The sequence below is a fragment of the Homo sapiens genome, chromosome 3, assembly GCF_000001405.40.
Source record: "Homo sapiens chromosome 3, GRCh38.p14 Primary Assembly".
NCBI classification, from domain to species: domain Eukaryota; kingdom Metazoa; phylum Chordata; class Mammalia; order Primates; family Hominidae; genus Homo; species Homo sapiens.
Genome location: NC_000003.12, coordinates 193247388 through 193263330, shown reverse-complemented (window position 1 = coordinate 193263330; position 15943 = coordinate 193247388). Strand labels below are relative to the sequence as shown.

At 36.9% G+C, this 15943-nt stretch overlaps 1 protein-coding gene across 7 annotated transcripts in view; it reads right to left on the bottom strand.

Annotated features, from left to right (window-relative positions):
- The window catches only part of PLAAT1 (phospholipase A and acyltransferase 1), a 40821-nt gene that overhangs the window by 18096 nt on the left and 6782 nt on the right, over positions 1-15943 (bottom strand). For 4 of the 7 annotated variants that reach the window (XM_011513035.3, XM_011513034.2, XM_047448625.1 and 1 more), the window contains exons 2-3: positions 7542-7680; positions 96-361 (exon numbers count right to left, since the gene is read on the bottom strand). In XM_011513035.3, the coding sequence (XP_011511337.2) occupies positions 96-361; positions 7542-7680 (405 nt within the window). Of the gene's footprint in view, positions 1-95; positions 362-7541; positions 7681-8592; positions 8648-11830; positions 11965-15943 lie in introns of all 7 variants that reach the window. The other 3 variants (XM_047448626.1, NM_001366112.1, XM_047448624.1) reach the window with 2 other exon arrangements.

Below are 15943 nucleotides of genomic sequence, written 5' to 3'. Positions count from 1 at the left end.
CTGGTTCTTTTCATTTGGTTTGAGGCCTGGGAACCTTATCATAGCCAATAGTTATTCTTTTCTCAATGTAAGAATATCTCCTAAAGAAAACTTACCTGCTCTGAAACTCCTTCTCCATAGCGAAGCAATGTCACAAAATGTTCACAGTTGTTGACAAGTAAGTTATAGGCCACCTCCTGTCCAATTACAAACTCTGACCGCTTTATGATTTCTTCCACAGGGAGAGGGGGGTACGTTTCATCGTATTTATTGTTTATTCTGTATGTGTCATTTCCCACAACATCCTTCAAGAGCTGCATTTTCACCAGGGCCTTACTGCTGAATACAGACTTGGCGCTTGTAAAGGACGCAGGAATGCCATCTATAAAGTAGAATTCTGGTTAGTAAGGTATAGTGACCCAGTCCAATGAACTCTACTGCCATCTAAAGACTTTGGAAATGCTGGCATGTCTAAACCTAGCCCTGTTCCTAACTTATTATCAAACCAAAGTCATTTAATCTCATCAGCCTTAAGCAGTTATTCTATAACTTAGCAGTAACACTTACTATTGTATGAGTGAGAATATAAGAAAAACTTTTTGAAAATGTTTGATGTTCCCATAGAACAAATTGGATGAGAATACGCTACTCATCCTTGGAAAATAAATTCTCTGTAGATTGGTATTATATTATTAGAGATGTTGGTATGTGTGTCTAACATAGATACAGATAAGATTATTGTCCACTTTTTCTATAAGGCAGTTTTTTGCTGAGCATCTGAACCCTTCCAAATTAATACTGTAGGGTACACTGTTATTAGTAGGCTCATCCTAGTATCTAAGCTCCCTAAGCGTCTGAAACTTGTTTTTCAACTAGGCATCAATTTGGGGTCCAATTTCCTATTCCGAAACCCGCATGGTACCTCAGTCCTGTGATAGGATGGCTGAAGTCAGGCTGGGGCCCTGCTTTTTTCCTGCCAGTTCCTTTGGCCAGAAAAAAAAAAAAAAAAAGCCCCCTAAGTCCTGAGCCTGAAGCTAACTTGGTAGGCACTGTCTACCAGACATGGCCCCAGGCAGTGACCTACCCACTTACGACAATGCCCCATGCCCTACCACTCCACCTTGGCTGCCTCTGCTCATAAGCATTTGCCTAGTCTGCCAGGAACTACTATATCTTTGGCCTGACAATGTCAGTACTTGAGGTTGGACAGATGATTCCTCAGGGTACAGGTCTAAAGCCAGGCTCCAGTCCTTGTCAAACTGCCCACAACTGCTGTGCTTGGCCATGTTCAGGTCAATCATGAGAGAGAGTCTCCACATAACTAGTGTTTAGAAACTTTCTCTTTTAGTAATGACTGAAAGCAAAACTTATTTTCCACTATCCTTCTGTCTGTCCTCCTTCTCACGGAATGTGAGATGTTCCAGTGAACATCTTACACATTGCAAGTTCTCACACATTACAAGTCCTCAGAGCATATATATCCCAGTTAGACTTACTAAACATATTTTTAATAACCACATGCAAAAATTAGAAAATTAAAATTTGGAGAGGTAAACTGGCTTGGAAAATGTATCACAGTAGTTAACAACATAATTGAATATCAATCTACAGGATCAAACCTGAACGCTCAAACCACAATAATATGGAATTTAAGGCATGATAATAAGAAAACAGCATGAAAATCTCATATTATTTTCCAGGTATGAAAACTGCAGAGATAATGTAGATGTAGAGGGTTGCTTAGTATTAACCACTAGACTCTGGAAGCTCTGAATCATAAATATCATTTTATTTGTCATTTTCACTTATAATATTCTAAAACAAGAGGCAAATACTTTAAAATGTTGCAAAAAACCACTTCATTAAAAAGTCTCAGAAGTTCCCAAGATAATAAAACTTAGGTCTATAAATACTTCTCTTTAAACATAACCTGAGGAAAATACTCCAGGTTATTTATTTGTTATCTGCATACACTTTTTTTTTTTTTATGGAGTCTTGCTTTGTTGCCCAGGCTGGAGTGTAGTGGCCCAATCTCAGCTCACTGCAACCTCCACCTCCTAGGCTCAAGTGATTCTCCTGCCTCAGCCTCCTGAGTAGCTAGAATTGCAGGTGCCTGCCACCACACCTGGCTAATTTTTGTATTTTTTGTAGAGACAGGGTTTCGTCATGTTGGCCAGGCTGGTCTTGAACTCCTGACCTCAACTGATCTGCCTGCCTTGGCCTACCAAAGTACTGGATTACAGGCGTGACCCAGCACGCCTGGTCTGCATACACTTTTTGTTAATAAATTAATTTGTGCTCATTTTTAAACATTTATAAAATACAGAAAAACAAAGCATTTAAATGTATACAGGAATCACCCATTATCCCACCACCCAGAAGTAACTGCTAGTAATATTTTGAATAAGACTGATTCTATGTCCTTCCTATGCAAATAATGCTGTGATGAACATTCAAGTACATGTGTCTTCTTGGTAGAATAATTTATTTTCCTTTGGATATATATGCAGTAATAGGATTGCTGGATCAAATGGTAGTTCTCTTTTAAGCTCTTTGATAAATCTCCAATCTGCTTTCCACAGTGGCTGAACTAATTTACATTCCCACCAACAGTGTATAAACATTTCCTTTTCTCTGCAACATCACCAGCATCTGTTTTTTTTTTTGACTTTTTAATAATCACCATTCTGACTGATGTGAGATGGTATCTCATTGTGGTTTTGATTTGCATTTCTATGATTAGTGATGATGAGCATTGTTTCATAGGTTTGTTGGTTGCCTGAATGTCTTCTTTTCAGAAGTGTCTGTTCCTGTCTTTGCCCATTTTTTAATTAGATTATTTTTTACATGTTGATTAATTTAAATTCCTTGTAAATTCTGGGCACTAGACTTTTGTCAGATGCACAGTTTATGAATATTTTCTCCCATTCTGTAGACTATTTACTCTGTTGATAATTTCTTTTGCTGTGCAGAAGCTCTTTTGTTTACTTAGGTCTCACTCGTCATTTTTGTTCTTGTTGCAATTCATTTTGGAGACTTAGACATAAATTATTTGCCAAAGCTGAGGTCAAGAAGAGTGTTTCCTAGGTTTTCTTCTGGGACTTTTATAGTTTGAGTTCTTCATTTAAACTTTTAGTCCATCTTGAGTAAATTTTTGTACATAGTGAAAGGCAGAGGTCCAGTTTTTTTTCTTATGCATATGGCTAGCCAGTTATTCCAGCACCATTTATTGAATAGGAAGACCTTTCCCCATTGCTTATTTTTGTTGAATTTGTTGAAGATCAGATGGTTTTATGTGCTTGGCTTTATTTCTGGGTTCTCTATTCTGTTCCCTTGGTCTGTGTGTCTGTTTTTGTACCAGTACTATGATGTTTTGGTTACTATAGCCTTCTAGTAGAGTTTGAAGTTGGGTAATGTGCCTGCAGCTTTTTTTTAGTTTTTGCTACTTGGGCTCTTTTTTGGTTCCATACAAATTTTAGAATATTTTTTCTAATTCTGTGAAGAATGGCATTGGTAGCTTGATAGAAATAGTGTTGAATCTGTAGATTGCTTTGGGCAATATGAACATTTTAATATTATTTCTTCCAATCCGTGAGCATGGAATGTTTTTCCATCTATTTGTCTCATCTCTGATTTCTTTTAGCAGTGTTTTATAGTTCTCCTTGTAGAGATCTTTCACCTTCTTGGTTGGATGTATTCCTAGGTATTTTATTTATTTGTGGCTATTGTAAATGAATTGTGTTTTTAATATGGCTCTCAGCTAGAATGTTACTGGTGTATAAAAATGCTACTGATTTTTGTACACTGATTTTGTATCCTAAAAATTTACTGAAGTTGTTTATCAGTTCCAGGAGGCTTCTGGTGGAGTCTGTAGGGCTTTCTAGGTACAGAATGAAATATTCAGCAAAAAGAGGTAATTTGACTTACTCTTTTCCTATTTGGATGCCTTTTATTTCTTTCTCTTGCCTCACTGCTCTGGCTAGAACTTCCAGTACTATGTTGAACAGGAATAGTGTGAGTGAACACCCTTATCTTGCTTCAGTTCTGAAGGGGAATGGCCCATTCAGTATGATGTTGGCTGTGGGTGTCTCATAAATGATTCATTATTTTGAGGTTATGTTCCTTCAATGCCTATTCTCTTCAGGGTTTTTAACATGAAGGGATGTTGTGTTTAATCAAATGCATCTATTGAGATGATCATATGGTTTTTGGTTTTCACTTGGTTTATGTGGTGAATCATATTTATGGATTTGTGTATGTCGAACCAATCTTGTACCTCAGGAATAAAGCCTTCTTGATTATGAATTAACTTTTTGATGTGCGCCAAATTTGGTTTGTTGGTCTTTTGTTGAGGATTTTTGCATCTATGTTCATCAGGAATACTGGCCTGAAGTTTTCTTTTTTTGTGTGTCTCTCCGATTTTGGTATCAGGATGATGCTAGTTTCATAGAATGAGTTAGGAAGGAGCCCCTCCTCCTGGGGTTTTTGGAGTAGTTTCAGTAGGATTGGTACCAGTTCTTTGTACACCTCCTGGAATTTGGCTGTGAATCCATCTGCTCCAGGGCTTTTTTCGGTTGGTAGTTTTTTTATTATTATTATTGTTACTGATTCAATTTTGGAACTTGTTATTGGTCTTCTCAGGTTTTCACTTTTTTCCTGGTTCAATGTTGAAAGGTTGTATGTTTCAAAATTTGTCCATTTCCTCTAAATTTTCTAAATTGTATTATAGAAGTGTTCATAATAGTCTCTAGGGACCTTCTGTATTTCTGTAGGACTGGTTATAATGTCATTTTTGTCATTTCCGATTGTACTTCTTTGGATCTTTTTTCCTTTGTTAATTTAGATAGCAATCTATCAATCATTTATCCTTTCAAAAAACAAATTCTTTGTTTTGTTAATTTTGCATGGATTTTTGTATCTCCATTTCTTTCAGTTTTTCTCCAATTTTAGATTTATTTTGTCCTGCTAGCTTGGGGTTGGTCTGTTCTTTTTTTCCTAGTTCCACTATGTGCAATATTAGGTTGTTAATCTGAGCTCCTTCTAACTTCTTAATGACAGTGCTTAGTGCTATAAACTTTCCTTTTAACATTGATTTAGGCGCATCCCAAAGATTTTGGTAAGTTGTGTCTCTATTTTCATTAATTTCAAATAACTTTTTGATTTCTGCCCTCATTTCATTTTCCACCTGTATTCTTCAGGGGTCTCTAGAGGGGCAGGACTAATAGGATAGATGTATATATGAAAGGGAGTTTATTAAGGAGTATTGACTCACACGATCACAAGGTGAAGTCCCACAATAGGCCATCTGCAAGTGGAGCAGCAAGGAAGCCAGTCCGAGTCCCAAAATCTCAAAAGTAGGTAAGCTGACAGTGAAGCCTTCAGTCTGTGGCCAAAGGCCTGAGAGTCCCTGGCAAACCACTGGTGTAGGTCCAAGAATCCAAAAGCTTAAGAACTTGGAGTCGGATGTTCAAGGGCAGGAAGCATCCAGCATGGGAGAAAGATGGAGGCCAGAAGACTTAGCCAGTGTAATTTTTCCACGTTCCTCTGCCTGCTTTTATCCTAGCCTCACTGGCAGCTGATTAGATGGTGCCCACCCAGATTGAGGGTGGGTCTGTCTCTCCTAGCCCACTGACTCAAATGTTAGTCTCCTTTGGCAACACCCTCACAGACACACCCAGGAACAATACTTTGCATCCTTCAATCCAATCATGTTGACACTAGATATTAAGCATCACTCATCGATATTGAGGACCAAGCTGTTTAATTTCCATGTTTTTGTATAGTTTTGAGAAATCTTCTTTGTATTCATTTCTGTTTTTATTGCACTGTGGTTCAAGAGTGTGCTTGGTATGATTTCAGTTTTTTTGACTTTATTGAGACTTGCTTTATGACTAAGCATGTGGTTAATCTTTTTCAAATAAATATCATATTAAGACCATCTTCCCTGCAATAAAACATGTCCAGATATAAGACTTTTAATGGCTGTTATGGATGCTGTTATTTATATCTATCCAGCACCAAATCCCACCATTGCCTATTTATTCCTGGAAACAATTGTGTCTGAGCCAATCACAGTATTCCATTCTCTTGGGCACAGTGATAGTCCAGCGATGAACATGGGGCTCACACTGGAGTGATTGGAGTCTGTCTCCGTGATTCTTTAACTGTAACAGGTAGTTACAGTTAGCTCTTTCGTGTTGGATCAAAAGAACCTAAGAGTCAGAACCTAAAGCTGCTTATGGTCATCAGTTTAGTTTTTTAAAGAGACATAGTCCGGGGAAATGAAGACAGCACATAGAAAAAAATGCAGATGTGTGACAGAGAGTCTAAATAGTGGTTAAACCCCTAAATATAGGCATCTCTGAGGCCGGCACCACCTCAGCTCTTTCTGCAGTTTCCCTCCATGATGCAATGAAGATTTCTCAGTAAAGAATATTTGATAACTAATATCATATGGCTAAATCTTAATTCATTTAACCATTCCCCTATTGAAAATATGCCATTGTCTACTTTAACCATTATAAATGACACAGAAGTGAATATCCTTACACAGAAATGCTTGTCTACATCTCTAAATATTTCCCCAGAATAGATTCCTAGAAGTACAATTACAGGGTCAGAGGATACGAACCCTTTTAAGGTCCTAGCCCTTATCAATTTATATTACCATCAACAATACCTTTATGTTCATTTCACTATATTCTTATCAACACTGATCGTTATCACTTAACCTTTGCTAATGAGATAGGTATGAAATATTTTATTGGTTTATTTTACAATTCCTAGGCCAGAAAGTTGAAATTTTTTCAAAAGGTGTATTAGCTTTTGCTTTTCTTCTTTTACAAACTGTTCCTAATTCTTTATCCATTTGTTTGTTGAGGTTTTAGTGTCTGCTGTCCCCTTGACCTGGGATACTATATCTCTAGAGAGCATCTGACCGGTTTCTTTACCTCTTTTACATTTTTCCTCAAATGTCACTTTCTTAAGAAATTTTCCTGACCACTTCATTTAAAATCACAGCATCTGCACCCACCACCTTCTGCCCTCAGCACTTCTCATCCTACCTTCTTATTTTTTCTGTATCACTTATCACAATTTTAACATTTCTGTAACTTGCTCATGGTCTGTCCCTGCTTACTAAAATGTAAACTCCACCATGCAGGGAGACGTCTGTATACCCCCAGCACTTAGAATAGCATTCAGAACATACTAGGTGATCTATAAATAGGTGTTGAATAAATTGAAATAACCTATTTGTGTGAAACATAAAGACACTGAACCTTGCCATGTTTGTGGCAAATATTTTCCCCAGCTGGTTATTTACTTTTTAATTGTGATTTTTTAAATCCAGAGGTTTTAAAATTTCATGTGAATTGGCCTTTGTGATTTCTTCAATGCTGCTTTGGTTTTAGAATATCCTTCTCTAAACCTAGATTAGTTGGATTTATCTGCTTTCTATATTTTATTTCGATTTTGTTTTGTTTATTATTTCACCCATGATTACTTCCTGTAACAAGAACACTAAAACTTTGCTCCCAGGAGCCACTGGAAATAAACCTCACCTACAGGTGCTATGTTGATAACGTAACCATCACCCAAGTACAGGGCCCAGTGCTGATAGCCAGGACGGAACACTTCGATCAAGTCCCCTGGGCAGGGGTTGCCAGGGTAGTTCAAACTGAAGCAATCATTAAACGCCATCTGCAATGACAAATACAAAGAAGAGCTAGCTAATACAACTTGCCAAAAGAAAATCAGTTTAAGACATCCATAAAAGCAGAATGATACAGAATTTATTGAGACTGCATTCTATATTAAAGACTTAGAATCACGACCCTGTCCTTTTCTTTGAATGATTCCAACACTGATGTGTGCACAAGGGGACAAGTAGAGAAATAATTTGTCTTGTATTACTTAATTTTCTATAGTAATGCTTCTCATCCCGATCAATTTCAGAGCCCCTTTATAATAACAAGCATTCTGTAATTTTCTCTTTAAATCTAGAAATCCCTGGATAATATAACTTACACAGATTTTAAAAATATCAAGGATTAAATATTAAAAAATGGTCTATTTAGGATAAAAAGGGGAAATAGGAAAGTAAACATATAATATCTGTTTACTAAGTAAATGTTCAGTCTATGACTATACTAAAGGATATAAAAAAGGGTTTATATGCTTGCACTTATTTAGCATGAAAAAGTCAGAATTCAGGAGCAATAAAATCAGATCAGAAGTCTTTCAACCTTTTATACAGCAGTATAGTAAAATCAAGAAGCAGAGGTAGGGGTGGATGCTAACATTTAATATTTTGTGAGTACTAAAACTCTGCAAAAATGCCATATATTACAAAACCTACTCTGTCATTTCATTTAAGCAAAGTTGGGTTCCAGGCTCAGATGGATGTCCAGCCAGATGTTCAAATTAATGTAGGACATGGAACATTTCTTTCTTGTTTAAAACTATACTGTGTAGTGTAGCATGTATAGGTACTCTGGTTTGCACCCACTAAATATCAGTAAATGCCCTTTGTCATTGTAACAATCATAAATGCCATCACAGATTTTCATGACTCTCCTTCCTGCCCCATTTATTGTCAGATTCCTCACTTACCGATTCCAGAAGCCATGCTAGGTGGTCAACAGCAGACGCAGGACAACTTGGAAAGCTGGTGAGTTCATCACATTGATGAACATGTTTGAAATTCTAAGTTTGGTAATTTTTTTTAAGTCAATACTTTTTAGAAAGAATACATAAGTATCTGACAGTTGATTCTTATGAAAGGTTATATTTTCTATGTATGGAATAGAAGTAGAATGACTCAGCAAGAGGAGATTATGTACATCTATCAACAAACAAAGGAGGATTTAAATGCTGTATCTATGTTGAATCTCTAATTGACAACAGGGTGTTCCTCATCATTTCACTCTAATGCAGATATATATGCTCATTTATGAAACAAATCCACATGCCAGAAATAGAAACTTCCAAATCATCTAAATTATAATAGCAGAGACTAAGGACTTGGGAATACAGACTATCATTTTTCTGGCACTCTAAAAGTCTTTTTTATAACAATTAATGTTAGAAGGGTGTTTTCCCAAGTGTTTGTATGCCATCTGTTGAAAAGTTCAATCATCACACTGTCACAGAAACGTGGCCAAATGTAAGCTGTCCATCTGTTGAAAAACAACTATTAAAACAACTTTATGAAAACGATTAAGTCTAACCACCCTCTCAAATATGTTTGCATCTTATTAATATGGCAGTTCGTAATTTGGCCACATGGGTATTAAAAGGAAAAATAGATAATACACTGTGATATAAACAAACACATTTCCCATGAATAGGAATCAGCAAACACACAAAGCTGCCTGCTATGATTCCGAGATGCAGCCAAAGTATAAAATAATAACCACCATTTGAACGGGGAGCACTTTCTAGTGCAATTTTTTTTCAAATGCACTATCTCTACCCTATTTAATTGAAAAAAAGAAAAAACATGCAACTATTTGAGTGTGTTATGTTATCATCCCACTTTATAGATAAAAAGCTAAAGTAGCAAATATCAACTTTTGGAAAATACCCACTGAAACCCTAATATATAAAACAAAGGGAAAATAACTTGACTAGGTGTTACTGATGTGAGCTCTTCTCTTAGTCTTCTACTTGATACTTGTTAGTTCTCTAACTTTGGGCAGGTCACTGGAACTTAGTCTGTTTCCTCATGTTGAAAATAGGTATGGGCATATAAGCCTGATTTTGTTTATCTCAAAAAGCTGCTGCAAGTAACCCTTAGGGAGCTGGTAAAAAGCTGTCGCAAGTAACCCTTTGGGAGCTGATAAAAAAACTGTTGCAAATGCCCTGTGAATTGGCAAGAGCCAGACAGGTGGATGATAAGAGAGACATTGAGATTGGTACATGGTTTATGTAGGATTTTAGTTCCTTATGCTCTCTTCCAGGCATGATAATTCTGTGAAATAAATGATTCAACTGTAAAATTCTAATATATTTAACAAATTTTCAATTTGACATATAAATTGATTCATAAACTGTTAAGTTAATTGATTTCATAAAGTCTATCATATTTATAAAGAGAAATAAGATTTCATAAGAGTAACCCCTCAAGATACTAACAGAGGAAGCTGAAGGCTAATATGCAACTTAAAAAGTGAGTTATGATACTGAACACTTAGAATCATAGCAAGGGACTACAGAAAGGTACTTCAGATATTATCTAATCTAATGGTCTCCAAACTTGTTTGCAGCAGTGGGTACCATGTCAAAACACATATCAAATAGAACCATAAAAATATAAAACCTAAAAAGCAGCACTGCCCTGAATGAAGTCAGGGACAACATGAGAGCCCTACTCACCGCTCACCCACATTGCTGCTCCTATTGAGGCTTCCTGGGACCCCAGAACTTCCAGGAATGCAGCTTAAATGATACCCATCTAGTCCTAGTCCAATCTCCTCATTTTTAGACAAAGGAAACAAAACCAGGCAGGTAGTTTAACTGGTCAAGGTCATACACTATTATATAAAAGATTTTTGACAATTGGTGCTGAAACAATTAGACATCCATAGACAAACAAATAAACAAACCTTGACCTAAATTTCATACTTCATACAAAAATTATTTCAAAATGGATAACAGACTTATATGTAAAACTATAAAATATAGAGAAAAACATAGGAGAAAAATTTTTAGGGTCTAGGGTAGACAAAGAGTTCCCAGACTTGATACCAAAAGTATGATCCTTACCAGGAAAAATTGGTAAATTGATTGTCCTTAAGATTAAAAACTTTTGTACTACAAAAGATCCTGTTAAGATGAAAAGACAGACTACAGAGTGGGCGAAAATATTTGCAAACCACATATCTGTGAAAGGACTAGTATCTAGAACATATAAAGGACTCCTCAAACTCAACAATAAAAAAGCAAACAATACAATTAGAATGTAGGTTATATGGTTTGGATATTTATCACTGCCAAATATCATGTTGAAATGTAATCCCCAGTGTTGGAGGTGGGGTCTGGTGGGAAGCATGTGGATCATGGGAGTGGATCCCTCATGAATGGCTAATGCCAACCCCTTGGTGATGACTGAGTTCACAAGAGATCTGGTTGTTTAAAAGAGTGTGGTGCCTCCCACCGCCCCTTGTTCCCATTCTCATCGAGTACACCTGGTCCCCCATTGCATTCCACCATGATTGTAAGCTTCCTGAGACCCTCACCAGAAGCAGATACCAGCACCATGCATCCTGTACGCCCTATGGAGCTGTGAGCCAATTAAATCTCTTTTCCTTATACATTACGCAGTCTCAAATATTCCTTTATAGTAATGCAAACAGACTAATTTCACCAAAGAAAATACATAGATGTCAAGGAAGCCATTAGTCATTAGGAAAATGCAAAATTAAAACCACAATAAGGGGACCTCAGCAAAATGGTGTAATAGGAGGCTCCCTAACTATCCCTTCTCCTACAAACACACTAAGGAAACACCTACACACAGATCAATTATCTCCAAAAGAAAGGCAGAATCCAGCTGAAAGACTCCTACACACTAGACAAAGAAGAAAATATCCACATCAAAATTGGTAGAAAAAGTGGAGATACACTCATTTACAAACCCCACCCTATGCACAGAGCCTTATAATCAGGAAGGGAACCCAACTCCTAGCATGGTCCCAAGGAGTGAGGGGCTTCTGTCTTACACCTAATGTTCAACTTTTACCATCCCTTTAAAAGGGCTTGGCTCTTAAATCACTGTGTCTGAAAAATAGTATGGAAAAGGCATTGGAGGATTTCCCTCAAGCACGAAAAACAAAGTGAGGTTTCACACCTTGCAAGCTCTGTCAGCTGCTGTAGTGCCCAGAATCAGCCCAGCTTCCAATCTCTCCCTGGAAAGGGTTTGGCTATGTTCTTTTCCAGTAGTTCAGTGTGGTTCTGGTCTGTAATACACCGGTATCTGGGAGCCTATATAGCAAAAAAAGAATAAACCTCTTCAAGCCTAAACAAGGACAACATTCCCACCTTCTTTCCTTAGTTTGTTCTAGTGACAATTCCAGCCCTACAATTTCTCAAGGAAAAGAGGCTGGAGGCCTCTGCCAGCAAGAACATGCTTTCTTGCCTGGTTTGCTCCTGAGATAAATTTCTGCAATCTCTCATGAGAGTGAAGCTGGGGGATCTCTCCATGCCTGAGAAGCAAAAAGGGCATTCCTGTATCTTTTTCCCTGGCTTGCTTCTGTGATAACTCCAGACTAGAAGACTCCACCTGCAAAAAAGATCTGAGACTTCTTGCTTGAACAGGAGATAGGCACTCACTGCACTTCTTTCCCCTGCTCGCTCCAGCAACAATCCAGCCCAGAGATCTCTCTGTTGAAAGAAACTGGGAGACCTCTGCCAACAAGAATGGGAGGGATGGCACTCCCAAACCTTTTCCCTTGACTTGCCCTGGAAATAAACTCCTTTAATCTCCAATTGGAAAAAGGTGCGGGGGTGGGGGGGATAGGGCAGGGCAGGGGCTTCTTCATGTCTGAAAGGGAAAGTGGGCACTCCTTGCACCTTCCCCTATGGCTTGCTTTAGTAATAACTCTAGACCAGAAGTTTCTCCCTGCCAGGAGGGTGTGAGATTTCTGCTTGTTCAGACAGGAGAGCAGTCACTCCCTCTACACCTTTTCCTCTGGCTTGTGCCAGCAAGAAATCCAGATCTGCAGACTTTCTCCAGAAGTAGTTTCCATACACACGGAGTGCTCTTTTATAGCCTTCACCCAAGAGACAGGCTCCTAGTCTGGGAGTTGACAGAGTTCTTCATTTTTGAGTCTCGTAGACAACAAAGAACAAAAACGTGGCTTTTTAACTTGAAAATGTTCAGCAGCAATCTCTCCAGGTCCAATGTGAGCAGTCTATCAAGAGTATAAGCATCCGCCTCAGACATTCTCCTTGGTATAGGGCAGAATGAGTGGGAGATTAAACTCTGCTCAAAGCTTCTCTGCAAAGAAAAAAGAAACTGGAACACACAACTAACACCTCAGTCTCTCCAGCTTCATTTCAAGGGACTGGCTTCTATCCCACCTCTCATAGGCAATGACTTGAAACTTTAATTTGGGTTGGCGGTGGGGGACAATAAGAATAAAAAATAGCAGATTTTACAAGCACAAAGAGGTTAGTGGATTCTAACAATCTTTGAAGAGGCTGATTGGAAAGGAACATCTCCTACACAAGACCAGTCTAGCAAGACTGAGAAAGGTGGTTCTTTTATCTAATGTGCAGAAAACAACATAGGGAACGGAGGAAAATGAAGAAACATAGAAATATGTTCCAAATAAAATAACAAGATAAATTAAATCTCCAGAAAGTGACTCTAATGAAATGTAAATATGTGATTTATCTGACAGGGAATTCAAAAGGGCAGTCATAACAATTTTTATTGAGGTAGGGAAAGCAATGCATGAAAAAACTGGGAACTTCAACGATGAGACAGAAAATATTAAAAAGTACCAAACAAACCATCAAGCTGAATAATAATATAACTGAAATGAAAAAACCAATAAGGAGGTTCAACAGTAGAATAAATCAAGCAGAAGTAAGAATTAGCAAACTTGAATACGGGTCATTGGTAAATCATAATTTGAGGATTTTTAAAGAAAAAAGAATGAAAAAGAGTGAAACAGCCTAACAGCCTTAGTGGACAGCATTAAACAGAATATGTGAATTATTGTTGTACAAGAAAGGGAAGAGAGAAAGGGACAGAAAATATATTCAAAGACATATAGCAAGTCCTCATTTAATGTCACTGATAGATCCTTGGAAACTGACTTAAAGCAAAACAACATATAATGAAAGGAATTTTTTTCTCATCAACATAATGAAATGACATTGAGTAAAATGATGTTATTCAAAAGCCGCTATAAATCATTTTGGTTAAAGTTGCAGTTTCCAAGAACCTATGAACATTAAACAAGAATCTACTGCAATTGCGAAAACCTTCCTAAGTGTAGGGAAGGAAACAGAAATCCAGAAGCTTGACAAACATCTAACAGGATGAATCCAAGGCAAACCAAATCAAGATACATTATAATCAAATTGTGGAAAGTTAAAGACAAAGAGAAGATAGGAAAGCTGTAAGGGAAAAGCAACTTGTTACATAAAAGGGGACCCCCATCAGATCTTTCAACAGAAACCCTGCAGGGTAGAAGGGAATAAGATATGGTCAAAGAGCTAAAAGAAAAAAAACCCTGCCAACCAAGAATACTACACTCAGCAATCCTGTCCTTCAAAAAGGAAGAGAAGAAGGGGAGCTTTAAAAAAAACTTTCTCAGATAAACAAAAGCTGAGGGAATTTATCACAACTAGACCTGCCTTACAAGAAATACTAAAATGGGCACTTCACATTGAAGGAAAATATCACTAAGTAGCAACATGGAAATACATAAAAATAAAAACTCACTGGTAAAAGTAAGTATATAGTCAAACACAGAACACTTGTACTGTAATTGTAGTATGAAAATAAATTATATCTCTAATATAAAGGTTAAAAGAAGAAAAACTATTCAAAACACATATAGCAACTATACTTTGCTAATGGACATGCCAAAAACTATTTAAAAATTGTCAATAAAAACAAATTGTTGGAGGGGATAGTAAAAGTTTAGAGTTTGTACAAGTGATCAAAGTGAAGTAATTATAAGCTTAAAATAGCTTGTCATTAGTATAAGACGTTTTATGTAAGCCTCCTAGTAACCACAAAGGAAAAATTCTTAGTAGATACACAAAAGATAAAAAGAAAGAATTCAAAGCATACCACTACAAAAAATCATTAAATTGCAAAGGAAGCAAGCAAGAGAGGAAAACAGAAAACAAAAGATCTACAAATTAACCAGAAAACAACAAAACACCAATAGTAAGTTCTTACCTACCAATAATTACTTTGAATGTAAGTGTATTAAATTCTCCAGTCAAAACATATTGAATGGTTCAATGGATTAAAAAAAAAGACCCAACTATATGCTGCCTACAATAGATTAACTTCACCTCTCTTAACCTTTAAGAACACATATAAGCTGATAATGAAGGGATGAAAAAAGATATTCCACACAAATGGAAACCAACACAAAGTGGGAGTAGCTATACTTCTATCAGACAAAATAGACTGTAAGTGAAAAACTGCAGAAAGATATGAAAAGTTATTATATAATGATGAAGGGGTCAATTCATAAAGAAAATATAACAATTATATATGCACCCAATATCAAAGCACCGAATACATAAAGCAAATATTAATAGATCTGATGAGAGACATGGACTGCAATACAATAATGTCCCGCTTTCAACATTGGACAGATCTAGACCAAAAATCAACAAGGAAATATTGAACTTGAACTATACTTTAAGCCAAATGGACCTAACAAATATTTACAGAAAACTTCATCCAACAACAATTGAATATACATTTTTCTCAATTGCACATGGAGTATTCTCCAGGGTAGATCATATGATATATCACAAAGCAAATCTCAACAAATTTAAGAAGACTGAAATCTTATCAAGTATTTCTTCTGACCACAATGGCACAAACCTAGAAATCAATAACAGGAGGAATCTTGGAAAACTCTATGTGGAAATTAAATAACATGCCCTTCAACAACCAATGAGTCAAATAAAAAATTAAAAGGAAAATTTAAAAATATCTTGAGACAAAAAAAAGAGGAAACTGATATTGATGCAGGATTTTTTACTCCTTAGCTCAGCTAGGTCTGGGCTCTTGTCTCATGACCAGGAATAATTAGGCACGCAGACACTTGAAGAGTGACTGGAGTAGAATTTATTAAGCAAAAGGAATGTTCTCAGCAAAGAGAGGGGTCCTGAAAGCAGGTTAGTCATTGCCCCCTCAGAGCTGAATACAAGGGCTTTATATATAACCTGATGAGGCTGAGCTCCCTATCTGTATAAGGCG